At 39.5% G+C, this 19,689-nt stretch overlaps 1 long non-coding RNA gene across 4 annotated transcripts in view, besides 1 other annotated feature; it reads left to right on the top strand.

Moving 5' to 3' along the window:
- Positions 1 to 19,689, top strand: part of LOC105369844 (uncharacterized) — a 310,508-nt gene that overhangs the window by 109,722 nt on the left and 181,097 nt on the right. The window lies entirely within an intron of this gene.
- Positions 13,302 to 13,803: an enhancer, noted in NCBI's record as "NANOG hESC enhancer chr12:76105024-76105525 (GRCh37/hg19 assembly coordinates)". NCBI's record gives its function as "activates a minimal SCP1, AML or CMV promoter by ChIP-STARR-seq in naive H9 embryonic stem cells {active_cell/tissue: H9 hESC(naive)}" and the evidence as "EXISTENCE:reporter gene assay evidence [ECO:0000049][PMID:30033119]".

Here is a 19,689-nt window from a genome sequence, read left to right as displayed (position 1 = left end):
CAGGATATCTTCTGGCATAGAATGCTCATTGGTTTCAAAGGGAAATTCGTGTGTGACACAGACACTGTGGAATGTAGAACAAAAACTGGAACAAAGTCTCTTATATTTATAATTGCGGACTATAGGAATTAAATGCACAGAGTAAACCATCAATAGTGTTTATACATTAAGACAGGCATACCAGTGATAAAGTGAATATTTATGCTGAGAGGCAGGCTCTTTAGGATCAGGGAAAGGTGTCTGGGCACTGGATGGAAGAGCTCAAAGCCAGCATTGGACTTAGAATTTTGGCCCAGCCATTTAACTCTTCAGTCTCTCACTTTGCCTTTTCAGTTTTTATCAGTGGAAGTCAATAGTAATTAGGGCATTATTTATCAGTTACTCCCAAAAAATGTAATCCCAGCACTTTGGGAGGCCGAGGCGGATCACGAGGTCAGGAGTTCAAGACCAGCCTAGCCAAGATAGTGAAACCGCATTTCTACTAAAAATACAAAAAAATTAACCGGGCGTGGTGGCGGGCGCCTGTGATCCCAGCTACTCAGGAGGCTGAGGCAGAGAATTGCTTGAACCCAGGACGTGAAGGTTACAGTGAGCCTAGATTATGTCACGGCCCTCCAGCCTGGGGGACAGAGCGAGACTCCATCTCAAAAAAAAAGAAAAGAGAAAGTTAATTCATTTATTATTTTTAGCAAATATTTATAGGATGCTTAAAATATACCATGCACTATGCTAGGCTCTAGGAAGAAACAAGATGTAAAGCAAAGTGCCTGTCAGGAAGAGGCTGACCAGTAATCAGATGATTATAATACAGCTTTTGAGAGCTTCCTATGGAAACACATATGGGGAAAGGAGAGGTCTACAACCCAGGATACCATGGGGCGCAGTTCCAGGGGCACAAAAAGCCATGCGGTAAACATATCACAGCTTCCCAAAGCATCAGTTTTATTTAACAGGACATTTAAACTATTTATCTTAAAATAAAATATATATATTACAGAGTAGAAAGAAATTTTCCAATAAATTTCTTTTATTTAGCCCACGTATACCGGGTTCTTTCACCTTTCTCTTAATGAAGACTTCTAGGGAAAAGTGAGGGCATAAAGACCGGTTTTTGTGTAGGCGTTTATGAAGCCTAAGAAGCCCTTTCAGTGCCACTTCGCCATCAGTGCTAGAGGAATCCACATCATACTATTTACATTCACAGGGCACCATGTGGTTTATAAAGGCATTTGACGAATTTTGCACCTCACAGTAAACAAGTGTGCTATTTTGCTTTACTGATGAGGATATCGAAGTTTTATGAGATTAATCCATTTTGGTGAGTGGTTCAAAGTCACAGAGTGATTAGTGGCAGAATCAGACTTCATCTTGGTTTCTGACACCAAATCCATTATTCTTTCTCCTGTAACTCATTCCTTCTCTTTCCAATGATTAAAAATTAAAAGACTGAGGTAAAGGATCTCTAGCCTTTTTCTGGCACATATCCACCTTCTTGCTCTTTGGGAATGGAGGGTAGAAGTGAGGAAGGTAGACTCTGGCAGATGCTGAGAGTGAAGTTCTTGAGAGGCCGGGTGAGATGGAAGGCTCTGCTTGATGTCTGAGAAAACTTAGGGAAAGGGGCATGGGAATTAATGAAGGTGAAACTGGGTTAAGTAGGGAACACTGTGGTGACAATTTAAGGATCTATCATGAGAGGTGTCAAGATCTGCTTGTTGTTAGATTTTGGGTCTCTTGCTAGTTGCCCTTCACATAGATTATACTCTTTGTTCTCTCATTGACGCCTCATGACCTTAGACTTGCTGTTTTGACTTTTCCATCCATCAAAACTAAACTAGCTAACATTGCAAAGTTTTGGAGGGATATAACATCAAAATAATGTTTAAGATGCCCCATCTTAAGTTAGGCAGTGAGGAAATACCACAAACCATGCTGATGCTTCTTGAAAAACAAGCAGGGCTAAGCCACATATCATTACTTGGCAATGCTAAATTCCTGAATTGCTTATATATACGTTTCACATGTAACCTCTGTCTTTAAACTAAAGAAGTTATTTGCTTATAATAATTACAGATTTGATTAAAATCATACACCGTGATTCAAGATTTAAAAATTAAATGGCTGAGACAAAGAAGTGACAAACTAAAGGAAGCCACAGTATGCTTGCCAATTGTTCTTGGCAGGAAATGGATGACTCATCCTGAACATGTGCTTTCGTTGCTGGGACAATGGGGCGCAATGAAAATGTTCAACTTACTGAATAGTGTGGACATTTTTGTCATCTGTTTGTAGGAGACTGATGAAATACAACTACAGATTAATAAGAACCCCGAAGTAACCTATGCTTTTGTGTGAGAAAACTAATGATAAATATTAAGAAAAAGACATGGACTGTTTCAAAATAATCAGTAGGTTTTCTATGCACTAAAAGAGACTGTGTACGGCAGATCCCAGGAAAGTAGAGGTGGAGAAATTCCAGAATTTAGGAAGGAAACTTAATATTGCCAATGGGAGACATGATTTATTCCCAAGAAGGAGAAAATAGGATTAGTAGCTGAGGGAGAAGTAAACAAGTAAGTTTTGGTTGCAGGAGAATGGGCCATTTCTGAAGTCCTTCCTAATGTGACCCTGATAGGATATCATCTCCTGTCTGGTATCTAATCCTGTAAAAATATCTGACAGGTAGACAGGGAAGGGGTATTAACTTGGTTTAACCTTCATGAACTGGCCCAGAGTTACTAAGCACTTAAAAGGACTGAGGGGCTGTGTAGGGGCCGGAGTATATGGGAAATTTCCGTACCTTCTCCTCGATATTGCTGTGGACCTAAAACTGCCTTTAAAACATTAAATCTATTTAAAAAAATGCTTTGTTGACAAAGTATCAGTGATCAAGGCAATCCTAGTTTGGCTAAAGGATGTGAACTGAAGTTCAGGTTTTATCCCTAACTGGCTCTGTAACCTGGGGTTAGTTTGCCTTTCCGAGCCTGTTTCTATATCTATTAACAAGAAGCTTCCCTAGCTTATCTTCAAGGCCTTTTCCAGATGGAAAATGCTGTAATTCATGTGAGCAGAAATATCTGTGTACATACAACAGTCTCAGAGGAGAGCACAGTTTTGCCAACAGATGAATACCTTGAGATACCCCAGGGAAATTTACACTCTGTTATTATAGATTTGCAATCACAGGTGTGTTGTCGGTAGTGGAGCATGAGCTGAAGGAAATGATTATTGTGAGTGGGGAAAAGGGCATTTTATAAGCTGGGGCAGATTAATAATGAAGGTTGTGCTGGGGATTCCTGTTCCTTGTAACCTTAGCCATTCTGTCCATGGGGAGATCCTAGATTTGCATTTTCTCATTCTATTTGCTCAGTTAGAGCCCTCCTTTATCAAAGACTACTTCCTAAGTCCAGAATTCAGAATTGTAAAAGGAAAACTACAGAGGTGGTTAACAGAGTCCTGTGGTTTGTTCTACAGCATGTGGACTTGGCATAGCCTCCCCAAGTCTGCAAAAATGCAGGCAGAAGATGCCCTCTAAGTAAAGTGTACTTGCCTTTTCCTGCATACAGCCCTATGGACACAACAGTGAATAATGCCAAGAAAAGGAGGCAGCATAATATAACACCAACGCAGAAGGAGATTTTAGCACACAGATCCTTGCAGCAATCTTGGACCGTCCCTGAATATTCTCTCAATTCATTCTCCCAAACATTAGAGCATCTGTTTGTGAGCCAGCAGAGCTTTTCATTCAGAATCATGACACTCTGCAGGCAGTTACAGAGAAGAAAATCTTTTATCTCAGCTTTCAAAAAGCTCCATTAGGCAGATTCTTTTTCTTCTTTTCAGAACAGACCCCTGCTTATTTTAGAGGAGGTATGTTCTTGACAAGTGCTCTTCCCAAATGTGCTGCATTGTAATTCAACCCCCAGTAACTTGACCAGTTCTCTGACTTTATCAGATCGGATAGAGGAGTCCTGCTGCCTGAGGCTCTTGGCTGCAAAGGTGAATGTTGAGAGCAGTGCCTGCTGCACTCCTCTCTGCGGGTTCTCACCTCCCAGTGGCTCATTTCCAATTTTCGTGTTAGAGCTGCATGCAGAGACCTACCTGTTAGCACAAGAAACAGATGTTGCCTCACATCTCCGAGGCTTCAGAATTTATGAATACTGGTATTTGTGGCATTCATCTCACATTTCCTGGGATGGTCTTGATTCCAAATTATTTTTCTGAGTCTTTGATATTGAAAATGTCCTTTTATAGATCAGTGGTTCTCAAGCTTCAGGGCACATTAGAATCATATGAGGGTGCTTACTAAACAATAAAGATTCACATGCTCTTCTCTCAGAGATTCTGATTCAAAAGGCCTGAGGTAAGGGCAAACCTTTTAATTGAGTTGCCACACACTCACAGTAAAGTGCTCCCACCTGAAGTGCACAGCTCAGTCAATTTTTATGTATGTATACAACTGTGTAACCACCACCCAGATGAAGCTGGGGAGCATTTCCAACAGCCCAGCCCAGAATATTTCCCTGGCACCTTCCCAGGCCACCCATTCCCCCACCCTGCCCCAAGATCACCACCATTCCTGCCATTTCAAGATGTCTGCTTTTTTTTTTTTTTTTTTTTTGGAGACAGAGTCTCACCGTGTCGCCCAGGCTGGAGTGCAATGGCACGATCTTGGCTCACTGCAATCTCTGCCTCCTGGGTTCAAACGATTCTCCTATGTCACCCTCCCAAGCAGCTGGGATTACAGGCGCGCCACCACGCCCAGCTAATTTTTTGTATCTTTAGTAGAGACGGGGTTTCGCCATGTTGACCAGGCTGGTCTCGAACTCCTGACCTTGTGATCTGCCCGCCTCGGCCTCCCAAAGTGCTGGGATTACAGAGTGTGAGCCACTGCTCCCGGCCAGATGTCTGCATTTTTAACCAGCTGCTCAAGTGATCCACATGTAGATGTTGTTCTTCATCTTTTGAAAATCAATGGATGTAATACAATGGCCAGGAGAAAACCCACCTGCATGTTTTGAGGCTGCAACTAGTAGCCTCCAATAGATATTCTTACCCTTGTCAAAGTAACCTGCTTGAGAGATTTGGGAAACTCCCAAACCTACAGGGGCTGCCAGCTACAGAACAATATGCCTGGAATGTGTCTGATGAAAACAGCAATCCCATTCAGTTGGATTGCATCTTTCTCAGGTAATGCCAGGGTGTTCAGTACTTCCTTATGGAAACAATCTTGAGAGTAGGAAGTTTTAGTGTCTGTAAAGCACTACTACCCAGGCATGGTTGTTTTGACTTCATAAAAGCTATCCTAGTTTTTAATCTAGAAACATAGTTAATATTCTTTGAGTATCCTAATTAATTCTCATAACAACCCTATTAAGGTAGATTTTTATTCCAGAAAACCAGTGTCAATTCTTTGGATAGGAGTATAATAATACTGAACATTTATTGAATGCTTCCTATCGCCACTGTACTAAATGCTTTGAAAGAATTCTTTCTTTTCCTTCATCCTTACACGAGTGAGCTTTCCCAAGGTCACCAGAGGTAGTAAATGAGATTTGAAGTCAACCCTAGTCTCACTTAGATCCTAATCTCTTAGCTCTGTGCTGGAATATTTCCCTAGATAAATACAATTCATTTATTTCTTGGCTTGGTGGAATCCTCTTGTCTTGAGATCATGCAACTTCCTTGGCTTTCATTTAAGCTTTTTAATGTGTAATTTGGAGGTCTGAATATTCATGCCCATCAGAAGACATAAACTCCTACTGGGAGATAACTTCTAACATAGGTTCATAAAATAGCATTCTGGTTTATATATCAAATGTTGTGAGTTTGGTCAGTCTCTAACTGGGTCCTGAAAGGCCTGAATAGCTCTATGTGCCATGACAAAAATTACTTTCAGAACTTGAAAACCTGAGGACAATAACTGGCTCAAGATAATCTCACCATGGTATTAGCAACAAACCCAGCTCCATCTCCTAAGCAGCTCCCCCATGCTTCATGCCCTCCAGCCCCACAAGAGTTCCTGTCCTAAAGGAGCTACACCCTCCATTTTCCTTACTTTACCTAAAAATCCCAAAGAAGGAATGTAGGTTCAAGAGAAACATTTACTATTTCTTTACCTTTGCCATTGAAGATGTACATACAATGATGTGAATATTAGTGTTTGAAGTTCTGGTCCCAGTGTTTTATTGGTTGTACCATAAATTTTAGTGGAAAAGGCAGGGTGCGGTGGCTCATGCCTGTAATCCCAGCACTTTGGGAGGCCAAGGTGGGCGAATCATGAGGTCAGGAGATTGAGACCACCCTGGCCAATATGGTGAAACTCCGTCTCTACTACAAATACAAAAATTAGCTGGGTGTGGTGGTGTGTGCCTGTAGTCCCAGCTACTCGGGAAGCTGAGGCAGGAGAATAGCTTGAACCTGGGAGGCAGAGGTTGTAGTGAGCTGAGATGATACCACTGCACTCCAGCCTGGGCGACAGAGTAAGACTCCATCTAAAAAAAAAAAAAAAAAAAAAAAAAAAAAATTAGTGGAAAAAAAATTGCCTCAAGGTTGTTTTCCTAGGCAGGCCTAATTTCTTTCAGAAATGAGAGTGATAGGTGCCATAGTCTACATTCATGAAAAATTTCATTTCCTTTTGCTTATTTACAGTAAGCAAAATCCAAGTATATTCTCATGAATGGCCTGACCAATACCAGTCTTCCTTAGCTTTGCAGACACAATTGTGCACAGAGCACACCTGGTACTTTTTAGATATGTGTATTATCCCTCACAGAGAAGGAACAAAATGTACTTTTCATTTTAATACTTTCCCTTAGTTTTAATTTTTGGCTCCATCCATGGATATGTCATTCATCAGTATAGAAGGCAGTTTGATCTCAATGGCAGCAATAATCCCACAGCATGCAGATACTAATGCTTAAGAGTCTGTTCAGGTTAAGGCAAATGCACTCTATGGTTTGTGAAACAACTTAACAGGGACTTAAGAGCTCTCATACCCATTTTGGATTTATTCAAGCATCTCTCTAGTATTTCACTAGGATACATGCTCCATGAGTACAGAGATTTTTATCTTTGATGACTTTGTGTCCCTAGTATCCAAAACAAAAGTGCTCAATAAATAGTGAATGAATTCATTTATCCATCCATCCATCCAGTCATCCATCTACCTATCTATCCATTGTTTACCATTCCACCTCAGCTAAGGTACCTGCATCCTTAAGTGCATAGAAAGAAAAATAATCTGCCTCCTCCAAGATGACTGGAAAGCAGCTCCCTGCTTCTTTAGTTCAAATAAGTACTAAAATATATCAGACTGCTGGCCAGGCGCGGTGGCTCACGCCTGTAATCCCAGCACTTTGGGAGGCCGTGGTGGGCAGATCACGAGGTCAGGAAAGCGAGACCATCCTGGCTAACACGGTGAAACCCCGTCTCTACTAAAAATACAAGAAAAGTAGCCAGCTGTGGTGGTGGGTGCCTGTAGTCCCAGCTACTCGGGAGGCTGAGGCAGGAGAATGGCATGAACTCGGGAGGCGGAGCTTGCAGTGAGCCGAGATCGCACCATTGCACTCCAGCCTGGGCAACAGAGCGAGACTCCACCTCAAAAAAAAAAAAAAAAAAAAAGTATATCAGACTGCTGCATTAAAAAAAATATATATATTACCATCCTGCTGCCCAGAGAAATTGTTATTCTTCTGATGTAGATCATTTAAGCGATTGCTTATTATTGCTTATTTGCCTAAAAACACTTTTTGATAAACTTTTGCTCAGCAGCTCCAGTTTATTCTTTTAATTCCAGCTTTTATTTATGGAAATGCCAATCCATTTTTATTCAATAATTGAGGGGAATGTAAAATATTTTTTAAAGTACAAAAATGCTTATTTTTTTAATGTATGTTTGTGTGTGAAATATGTAAAAAATATATTAAGCCTCTGACTTAAATCTGATTTACTAATAGAAATAGTTAAGGAGGAACAGGAGCATTCATCCTTACAAGGCCACATTTCCATTGAATGAGTATTTAAGATCAGTTGGATTAAAGGAGGGAATGGAAAGATAATGATAGGGAGAACTCTCATTCAGTTCAGTCTCATCAAGGCTCCCCTGCCTGCTGAGTAGCAACGGTGGGGATGGGATTCCCTCTCTGTAATTGCACCACTATCATGCCATAAATGATTAGAGAGACGCAGCCTAGCTGTGTCTGAGTCTCTATGGGACAGTTGTGCTCATTAAGCATCTCAATATTTGCCACACAACTTCAATTCCATCACTTCCTCTCTGGAATATTTGTTTAAGTAATCTCCTTGCCTGGGAGCTCTAGGATACCACTCTAATACATGCCACCTTGTGTTGTTGAATCCTACACAGGCCTGTAAAATGAGTATATTCTCAGATATAATAATGATTCTGCTTAGAGTGATCTGGAAGTGCCCAAGGCTAGACAAGGGTGATGGCAGTTCAGTAACTCCGTGCCCTGACTGGTTGTCACTGAAGCCACAGTTGCCACAGAAACTGGGACATGCTTAAATCCCACATCTCATTTCCAAATCCCATGAGCTTCTCCTTCATGACTAGTGGAATTAATTATCCCAATCGTTCAGACACATAATCTTACAGAACCTTGCAGCCACAGATAGTCAAACTTCTTGCAAAGCCAAATCTTCATGGATCATTTAGGTTAATTAATATCGAGTGGTAAATGCTGCTAAAAATTCAGGGCCTCATATGTGGCAGGATTTCATTTTATCATTACTCTGTGGTTAGGCTGTTAGATTAGCATGCACTGGGATAGGTTATTCATGATGGCAGAGTAAATGCAATGAACTGGAAGATAGAAACATTGTTACCGTAAAATTCATGTTAGCATGCTGGCAAACATAGACAGCCTCAGTTTCACTTCACTGACTCTGGGGATTCTGTTCTCAGTGTGTGCAGATAAAGCATCTCCTCTGGGACTGGGTCCTAACCTTAGGACTCAGGTTCCATCTTCCATGGAAGGGCCACTGTGCCAGGCCCAGAGTCATACTTGGAGAGCTCAGATGCCACAGTACGACTAACTGGGGGCTCTAACCTGCTTTCCTACTTAAACTATCTGTGTGACCTTGGACAAGTGCCTTAACCTCTCTTAGCCTCTGTAAGATGAAGAGAACAATTGTACTCATATTTGACCCTTGAACTAGGGGGTTAAAGGCGCAGACCCTTGTGCAGTTGGAAATCCACGTATCACTTTGACTCCCCAAAAGCTTAACTATCAATAGCCTATTGTTGACCGGAAGCTTTGCTAATAACATGAGCAGTTTGTCCCAGAGAACCATAGATTAACACGTTATTTGTACGTTATATGTATTATATACTGTATTCTTACAATAAAGTAAGCTAGAGAAAAAAGTTATTAAGAAAATCATAAGAAAGAAAAAAAATTTAGTATTTATTAAGTGGAAGTGGATCATCATAAAGGTCTTTATCGTCATTGTTTTCAGGTTGAGTGGGCTAAAGAGGAGGAGAAGGAGGGGTTGGTCTTGCTGTCTCAAGGGTGGTAGAGGCAGAAAAAGATCTATTTATAAGTGGACCTGCAAGTTCAAACCCGCGTTGTTTAAAGCTCAACTGTTTTCATAGGATTAAGTGAGATGACGTGTTTTTCATGCTGGGTACATTACATGGAATTCAGGAAGTGCCCCCAAAATATTAGTCCTGATATTATTTTTCTTGTTCATTGAAGAACAGACTTGAAAGGGCAGTGAAAAGGCTGGAGAAAAATGAAATATGTAGGAAATTTTGAGAAAGATATTTGACAAATTATCCTTATATTCATTCTTAGCCAATACTTATTGAGCAATTACTCTGTGCTATGCACTGCTCTTTGTGTCTGGAATATAGTAGTGGACAAAACAGATATTTCTGCCCTTGTACAGCTTATGTTCTACCTGGGGTAGGGGGTGGGTACAGAGTACTTAATAAGCAATAAATAAATTATGTAGTACATTACAGTGTGAATGTTATGAAAAAAGAAAAAAAATGTGAAATCAAGTAAGAGGAATTAGGAGCACCAAGGAAGGAGGGGGCAGGGCTAGATTAAATCTACCATTCTTCTCATAACCAAAGTGGGAGTAACCCTGCCATTCAGACCGTGATTCCTTCAAATGATTGGATTTGCTTCTATTAATACTAAGAGCACCAGACAAAAACCCAACATTGACTGAAAGCTTATTCTGTGCCAGGGACTATTCTAAGGACGTCATGTTTAAAACCTTTTAAAATATGTATAAAAGGTAGATGTTATTACTTTCCCCATACAGAAGAGGGATCTAAACAACAGAGGAGTTAAGTAAATTGCCAAAGGTCACACAGTTCATCAGTATCAGAGCTATGATTCAGCACCAGCATTCTTTACCACTAACCTATACCATTCACACAAAGCATGAGTTGAAGTTAGAATGTAGAGATCTCAACATAAATTCAGGCTGCTTGGGCAACTCTGCCTTTCAAAATAACAAAGGAAGCCTCATATCTAATCACATCTAGATACCTATTTTCTGAGTGTAAATACTTTTAAGATAAGTTATCATGTATTCATATGATAATTGACTTACTTTAGTCATCCCTTGATAGAGGAAATGAAAATGATTACAAGTGATGAAATGATTATAAAATCAGTAAATTTAAAAAATTCATTTGTACTACTATTCCTCTCAACAGCCTCTATTTAGTTACTTGGAAAACAGACTTGTACTCTGCTTGGTGTACATATGGATTTGGGAACTCTTTGCAGTAAATCAAGAGTGCCGCAGGGGTTTGTGACCCACAGGTGGGATCTTTAAAATAAACTCCTACTTGGATTTTTGTGGTTGTCTCTAAACTGGAGATGGATGACAGAGTTCAATAGGAAGGGAAAGGCAGATTTTATTTACTTTTATACACATTTTCTCAGATGGTTACTGTAAGTTTTTCTTAAACAGGAGATCTCAGTTGAGAATTCTTTGATTCAAAGTTTAATCAGCCCAGAGGACTTCTTACTAACAAATTTATAAGAAAAAGTATAGAGTATGGAGTTAAGGGCTAAGACTCTTAAGCAAGATTTATTAGTTATTGTCCCCTAATCACTTAATAGCTGGATAACCTCTATGAGCCTTAGATTATTTTTCTATGAAATGGGAGTTATCATCACCATCCCCTCCACCAACACCATTATTATTATCTCCTGGGATTGTGGTGAAAAGTAAACGAAATATTACAATTAAAATGCTCAGCTTGATACTGGCACCTCCTCAACATTCAGTGAACGTAGCAATCATCATTAATACACAAAAGAGTTGTTGATGTTTTTAGCAGTTATGTGATAGATGGAGTTGAAGAATAAGCGGAAAAGATAGAAATGAGTAGCTGACTTTGATTATGACTTTTGGCATTAGACATAGCAAAACCTCAGGCAAGTAGTGATCAAGTCTACTTTCACCCTCAAGTGTTCTGAATAGAAAGAGAGATAAGAGTGATTGTGGTAGAAAGAAAGCTAAAAAGCTTCTCTTTTCTTTTTTTAAAAATTTTAAATCTATTTTATTAGTATGCTTTATTATGCTTTAATTATTGTTTAATTAATTATTTTTAAATTACTTTATTATGCTTTAATTATTTTTATTATGCTTTAATTATTATTTATTATGCTTTAAGTTCTGGGGTGAAAGAAAGCTTTTAAGAACTGAAAACCAATGTCAGTTCTCTGATTAAAAGGAAAAGGTGGTAAAGGATATGCTAATTGGTGATGTGTATATGCAAAGAAGCCAAGGAAAACAGGAAAAAGAAGCAAAAGAAAGAAGAAAAGGGGAAAAAGAACCAGTGGAAAATAGAAGCTTTGAGGATGGTAGGGTAGAGGCCGCTGGATGGCGAGCAGAAGGCCACTGATGGTGGAAGAGTGGAACAAGCAATGAAAAAGGCAAAGATGACCGGCAGTGCTTCTGCCTGGCAGCTCCTTCACCAGTCCTTATAGCAACAGGCATGAGGCGTTTTCTACTCTAAAGGCTGGCCAGTATCTGGTGGGAGAGGTAGAACACAACTCTGTAATAATAACATGATTTTGTAATCCATGTTTATTATGAGCCAGGTGTTTTTCATAGTTCACAAAGTGGATTCTATTTTATAGATGCCAAAACTAAAGCTTAAAGGGGTGAGGGTTACTCAACAAATAAGTAGAAAAGATGGACTCCAGAATCTTCTGCATATTTCTTCCTGTTATAGTTCTTGAAGCTTCAGGTGGTCAACTTGCTAAATCAGGAAACTATCACTGGAGTAACTCATATCATAATTATGCCAGATAACTGTGGCATATTACAGATTTTTTTTAAAAAAGAAAAAAGTACTGCTTTTTTTTTTTGTTTGCCATTGTAAATCAACTTAAAAAAAGTCAAAAAGGCATCAAGTGCTACAAATATGGCATTTGATAATTTTCAGTTAATTATAGATGGCATTTACTTAACATTTAGGCAATTTGAAAAGGAGTTATTGAGTATTAGCAGAATCAGCAGCAAAGGTTTTTCTAAGCTCCTGGAACCATGAGTCAAGGTAAATAAAAGTTCCCTGGTTAGAAAAGGGCACCAAAAAAGCCTTTGAAAAGTAGTTCAACTTGACTTTGACTTATGATGTCTTTGGGAACTTGCCCAGTTTCAAGGTGAGGCTATTGAGACAGGAAATACAAATGACAGTACAAAGAAATTACAGGGTTCCAGTTAAATCCTCATAGAGAAAGGCTGAAACTGTAAGGGAAGTTAACCACAAACTCTAAAGATAAATTAAGCAAAAGTTAGAATTGAATTGTGACTTGAAATTCTCTGGCCTTTCCTATTAGTCCTTTATACAAAGGAATAGCCCACACAATAAATGTATCCGCTTTGATCATTATCTAGCAAGCTGTCTTGATGTATTTAAAGAAAAATCTCTGAGATATTAATAACCCATTAATTAATTTTGGCCAAAGTCTATTGGTGTTAAAAATAAAACCAATTGCATATTACCTGGCTAATTTATGACATTTATCTACTTATAACAGTAACTATTTTGAGAAGCTGGTATATTATTACAACACACAAATAACTGTAGTATTGAGGGGGTGGAATATGTAGGCAAATATGTAAGTTCTACAATCCAACTTTTATCTTCCCTTTGTTCCCAGTTTTATTTTTCTGGCATTAATCTTGGCATTGAGTTCTATTTTTGTTGACTAGACAAAAGAAACGGGGGGGTTTGGTGGACAATCAGAGTGAGAAAGTAGGGCATTTGGAAAAATAGGTAGGAAGTGCTTGGCCTCCAGTCCATCCTGCTTAGTTTTTCCTTCTGAACAGAGCATGCATCAGCACCCAGACTCCCTAACTGATTTCAAAGCGAGCTTCTAAACATTTAGTTTTGCAAATAATACCTTTCTTATTCCCCAGTGAAATAAGACTGGGTCAGAGATGTTACAGCAGGTTCCTTTTCCCTCTCCACATAGTTAGAAGAGCCAGGCTTTCTAGTAAGCAGGTAATTCAGCTCTAGTGGTTGGCTTGATTCAATTAGTGATGGGGCGAACTTCAGTTTCCACATTCCAGGAGGAGGGGTTGCCCTTTTCACATTAAAACAACAGACTATGGTCCTGACTGGTTCCATCACTTGCTTCTCTGTAATTAATCTGTGGGCCCAGACAGTGAGCCTTGAGTAAGGAGTCAAATGCACACGATACACAAATAAATTTGTCAAACTGACCTCTAGGCAGCAGAGAGTATCTGAGTGAGGAAATATTTAGCAGGTATACATTTGCCAATCCCTAAATCAGGGTGTGTTTCTTTAGTAAGTAGGGGACTAATTCACTGAACTCAGTGCTTAATGTCTACAGACACGTCTCATGTACTTTGGGACATTCACACCATTGCTAGACTGAACTATTGGCCCATCAGAGATTCTTAGTGCCTTCTTTCTTAGTGCCTTCTTCCCTTTGTGTAGGCAAGAGCTATTCTTGTGGATATACAGGAAATCAATGACTCTTTTCAGCATTAGTAGTTATCATTGCTTGGGCAGCAACTCAAGGTAGAAAAATATAGCTAGAACAACCATGCCACAGTGGAAGATGGGCCAAAGACAGGAAGTTAGGATGTGCGGTCCAATCAGTATTGGGAATGCTTAACTAGACAACCAAGCTCCTTGGAGATCAACTGTTGGCTATAAATGTACATGTGCAAATATAATATATGTGTTAAGCAGGAAAGGCAGGAAGTAAGGGCTGTATGTTTTAGGCTATAGAACCTAAGAGCTTCAACAGTAATTTCCAGTGCAGGTAACTAATAGTTGTTATTTTTTTTTTTTAGTTTAAAGACACTGGCCTCATATAACCTGAGTGTGAAAAAGAACCCAGAACTCTTCTTGTACCCATTGTCAGAAAATCTTAGAAGGCCAGTCGTCTCTTTCAGAGATTTTCAGCCCTCTTCTAGGGCAAAAGACTGAGTCAGTATAATTACAATCACCTGGAAATAAACTGCAAACAGAGCTGCTTTTGTTCCCCAACTGAAATCTTGCAAAAGAGATGCATTACTTTGCTAGCTCCACTTCCTAACAGGAAAACAGTTTTGTATATTTGCTGCATTGTTTTGTTGTAATTTTCTGAAAAATATCAATTCTGATTTTTATTAACATATGAAAATAAAAGCTAATGCCCTGCTGTACCCTCCATTCTATGAAGACATTGTTCTCTTGACCTCTTTTCATTAATGGGAAAACTAAAAAGAAAACAGACATTTCCAATTTAATAGACATTCTACTAGATCTAAAGACTTGGCTCCTTTTTCTTTTTTCAAAAGTCCTTCTCTGAAGTAACCTGTCACTTAAAAAAATTCAAAATCTTATGCAATTTGTTCTGAACTCAATATTTTTGAAGTAAATACTAATCATTTTTTTTTTTTTTAGTGCTGCTGTATATTATGGTTGGGTGGCCTACATCTTCTGTTGTGTATCTCAAGCTGGATCAAGTTCACTTTGCAGGGAACTCTGTGCACCTACAGGAATAGAATGGGCACAAAGAGGATTAGAATCCCTGCAGGGGCAGCACAGAGAATTATGTTTTCTTCATGAGCTCTGATGTTTTATTAACCATTCTAGCAACTTTGCATCTGATAGAATCCACAGATGAAGTTCATGTTGTTTGTTACTCTGCCAATATAAAAGGCTCTCTTTTGAATGGAATATGAAGCTAGTGGCTCTCACCCACCAGCCATAGGGCATAAGCTTGGACCTTGTTTTTCTGGCAGCAATAACAAGTGTGCTGACTTGTGCTGTCTTAGTGGGTCCTGCCTGTGACCAACAGGGTGAGTTTCTGAGTTGGCTGTGTAGGGGGAACTCTGCATTTTGGCGCTAGAACAGAGAAAAGTCGGGCAGTCTGGAGTCCTGACCCTGACCTCATTAGCACTGTGCTCCTGTCCATTGAAATAACTGTGCAGTGATTTCAACTTTAATTTGGTCCTAATTCTGGGATGATTCCAACTCAGCTACTCAAGGCTGTAGAAAAACAAAATAATGAATGTTCTGAAATCTGCTATTTTCTTTAACACATCAAGCTCATCCTTGTCCAGCATAAAGACACAGACCCAGAATTTCCTCCTGACTTTCCTCTATCTTCCCTCTTTGCCCCTGCCTTTAAAAAGATGCATAATAATTTTGCTATAGATGAAAAAACATGGTACTCCAAAGTCAAAAAGGCTCAGGTTTGAATTTCAGCTTTGCCATATATTGGCCATATAATTTCAGGTAAAAATTTCAATCACTTAGAGCCGCTGTTTACACATTTGTAAAAATGGAACAAAAGCTGTGGCATGGAGAAGAGATAGAAGCAGAAGAAATGAGTTTAAATCTTAGTTCCTTAACCTCTTGGAGCCTAAAAACGTTAGTTAGTACCCACTCCATATGGTGATAATGATGATTAAGCACCATCTCTGCATTGTGAATTTATAAGGGTTAATGGAGTAAATGTGTATAAGTTTCTAGTATTATGTATAGTGTTCAGCAAGGACTACACAGATATCAATTTCCTTGTTTATTCTGGGCAGTTTTATAGAGGTCAAAAATCCCTTTGTTTTTCAGGAGTCAAGGACTTCTCATATTGTCAATAAGCTTTTTGAGCTGGAAGGCCAGAGTAGGTCATGACACATTTACTTGCATTGCTCAGTGGAAGAGGATTCTACAGGGTGCTTATAAAATCTCCAAGCTTAGGAAAATGCACATAAGTAGTTTCTGGATATTCTCTTTTAATACAGTGTTCACTGTGTTAGCCTCATCCACAATATGTAGTTCCATGTGCTGTGCAAAACTACAATAAAAATGTGGCCGGGCGCAGTGGCTCACACCTGTAATCCCAGCACTTTGGGAGGCTGAGGCGGGCAGACCACCTGAGGTCAGGAGTTTGAGACATGCCTGGCCAACATGGTGAAACCTTATCTCTACTAAAAATACGAAAATTAGCTGGGCATGGTGGTGGGCACCTGTAATTCCAGCTACTCGGGAGGCTGAGGCAGGAGAATCGCTTGGATGCAGGAGAATTGCTTGAACCCGGGAGGCAGAGGTTGCAGTGAGCCGAGATTGTACCATTCCACTCCAGCCTGGGTGACAAGAGTGAAACTCCATCTCAAAAAAAAAAAAAAAAGGTGCACCCTAGATATCCAACCCTGCCACTGCGGTGCAATGAGGTAGTGCACCAGCCTTAAATCATCACTCTGGACCGCCTCTCCTAGTCCATCAACTAACGACATGATTTAGTCACTTGAAAATGGCAAACATGTGCCTATGTTTCCAAATTTTAAGGCCACCCTGTGGTTAAGTTCTAACATTTGAATAAGATAAAGGGCCTCCAGGGAGAAGTTTATTCTGCTTTCCAAATTGCAAAAGTCACATGATTATAAGAACAGTCTGCTTTCCTAGAGGTTTGTGGGAGCAGAGTCTATTCATGACCTTGTTTTCAGATACAGCCACTAAAAGGACTCCCTGCTAAAAAATATTTTTCCCAATATATCCAATTTATACATAATTAGTCATTTTCTTTTTGTTTTTCCTTAAGCTGATGAATTACTTAGAGTTCTTATAAATTCACTTCAATATTTAGAGGTTACATAGAAGAAGAAGAATGAAGAGACAATAAGAAAGGGTAGGGAAGTAGAAGAACCAAGAGAGTGTGATATTCCAGAACCAAATGAAGAACAAGTTTCAGGAAGGAGACCATGATCAGCTATGCCAGATACTATTGATAGGTCAAGTAAATGAAGGTTGAGAACTGAGTGTGCATTTGGTAACATGACTATCAGAGCCCATGATGAGGCAGTTATTAGTGTGGGGACCAAGAGAAACACTGGAGTGAATTGAAGAGAGAAAACAATATTGATCATAGACAACTGTTTTAGCCGGGCGTGGTGGCTCACCCCTGTAATCCCAGCATTTTGGGAAAGTGAGGTGGGTGGATCATCTACAGTCAAGAGTTCAAGACCAGCCTAGCCAACATGGTGAAACCCCATCTCTACTAAAAACACAAAAATTTGCCGGGCATGGTGGTGGGCACCTGTAATCCCAGCTACTCAGGAGGCTGAGGCAGGAGAATCATTTGAACCCAGGAGACGGAGGTTGCAGTGAGCCGAGATCGTGCCATTGCACTCCAGCCTGGGCAACAGAGTGAGACTCTGACTCAAAAAAACAAAACTGTTTTGAGTTTTGCTGTTCTTTTATTTATGTTGTCACACTCAGTGTAAGGTAGTTTATGAAAATCATTATATCTATAGACATTCTGTTTGTGAAAATAGAACTCACTTTATCTCTGACCTCTATTTTCCGTGATTTTTACATAACAAAGTACATAGTTCCTCAGGCCAACATATGGAAACCTAGAACAAATGGCTTCCAAGGCCCCTCCCAGTTGAATAATTCTGGTGAATTCCCTTTCCATGAACTTCCTGCCAGATGTTCCTCATGACTGATCTTATTTCCTTTATGCTTATGAAAGTGAGGCATAGCTTTTTTACAAAATTACTTAAGTGTATGTTATCAGAATGCAGCAGAGCAAAGCAAAGACCACGTAACTTGACACAGCCATGGCTAGAAGAGAAACCTTATCTGCGACAGATATTTTTAGTTGCCACTATTTTCTATCACACTAAGCCCCATTATTTTAGGCTATATGGAAATGGGTAAACTGAGGGGCTGTACCTCATAACAGCCTCATTTTTCACGTGAGAAACCTACTTTAGAGAAAGCTCTTAAGATGTGTCTTTATATACTTAGCCAGCAGATGACCACTTTTATTTTTTCCCTGCTAAGAAAATTCTTTTTTCAATTCCCTGGAAAATACTGTTGAGGCTGTCATGCTGTTGGGGGAAGAAAACATATTTCCTCATTTATATTGTGCCTGCTTATCTATATTTCTGCAAACATTTCAATCTTCCTCCCCACTGCATTTTTTACATCAGCCTTTCTAAATACAGTTCATGGTGTTCTGTTTTATGTCACTGTAACCCTGACTGCTATGTGGAAGCAGGTCCTGCAGTGCAGGAAGCCTGCTTATAATTGACAGATAAATCTGTTTTCTAGAAACTCTGCATTCCGCAGCAGCCCCAGCATATATGATTCTTAAATAATCGCTTTGCTTATTCCCCAAACAGAAGGCAGTCAAATCAACCAGTTTATTCTTCCAGAATTGCAAGAGGACTGCCATTCATTTTCCAACTTTTCCTTTTTTTTTTTAAGCTGCGGTTGTAAAAACTTGGTGTGCTTTGGGATGTGTCATCTCTTATTTCTTAAGGGTCAACTGTGTTAAGAGAGAGAAGGTCAACCTAAACAGTTCTTGGATTTCATTTCGGGAAATTCCAGGCCCCAGCTCAGCTCGTTCTGTGCATGTCCACCTACCGAGGCTCGGCCCTCTGTTGTTGCAGCTGTTGCTGAGTACAGAGCTCATTTATCCCCAATCAGCTGGAGCTTCCTGTAAGTGTTGGATGCTTTTCCCTATTGCTACTCAATTGGGATTTTTTTTACAAGATTTATCAAAACAGTTCCAGCTACATGGTGCTTTGGAATACATACCTCCAAAGTCCAATGACTTTTCAAAACACAGATACTATGCTAGTGGCAAACTATTAGAGATGTCAACTGCCTCACTTGGTTCAACCTCTACCATGTTGTAGGTGCCTCCATGCAGAATGGGGAAATGGAATGAGGAGTTTGAAGGAACACATGGAAAGTCTCTAAATTGTACCTCTCACCCCAACCACGCCATATTGGAATATACAAGACTGAAGAATTCAGAGTCACAGCCTTGACTCCAACTCCCTTGTTCTAAGATAAGAAGAATCTTAGTGATTTACCCAAGGTCATATGGCTGATTATGGCATTAGCCTCTTGTAATCCTTTTGATACATACGATCTTGAAAAAAAATCCAAAATCATAGACAAGGGGTTCATTTTTATAAAAAAATATTTATTCTTGTTATTATTTATCCTAGGGGTCTTGGAACATTGTGTTTGATGGCAATAGTTTTAATATGGCCGATTCTTTCTAACCTTGTCAGAAGTCTGTATTTTGATAAGATAGAAATATAGATTTATACCATATCTGTATAAACAGTCATCCGCATACATGTGTGTTCTGCTTCTATCAATAGCTCTTTTGTCTCAGGGATAGGAAATAAATGTGTCTGAATTTATATTAA

Source organism: Homo sapiens, chromosome 12, assembly GCF_000001405.40.
Source record: "Homo sapiens chromosome 12, GRCh38.p14 Primary Assembly".
Lineage (NCBI taxonomy): Eukaryota > Metazoa > Chordata > Mammalia > Primates > Hominidae > Homo > Homo sapiens.
Note: the sequence above shows the minus strand (reverse complement) of the source record. Positions and strands in the feature narration are given on the sequence as shown.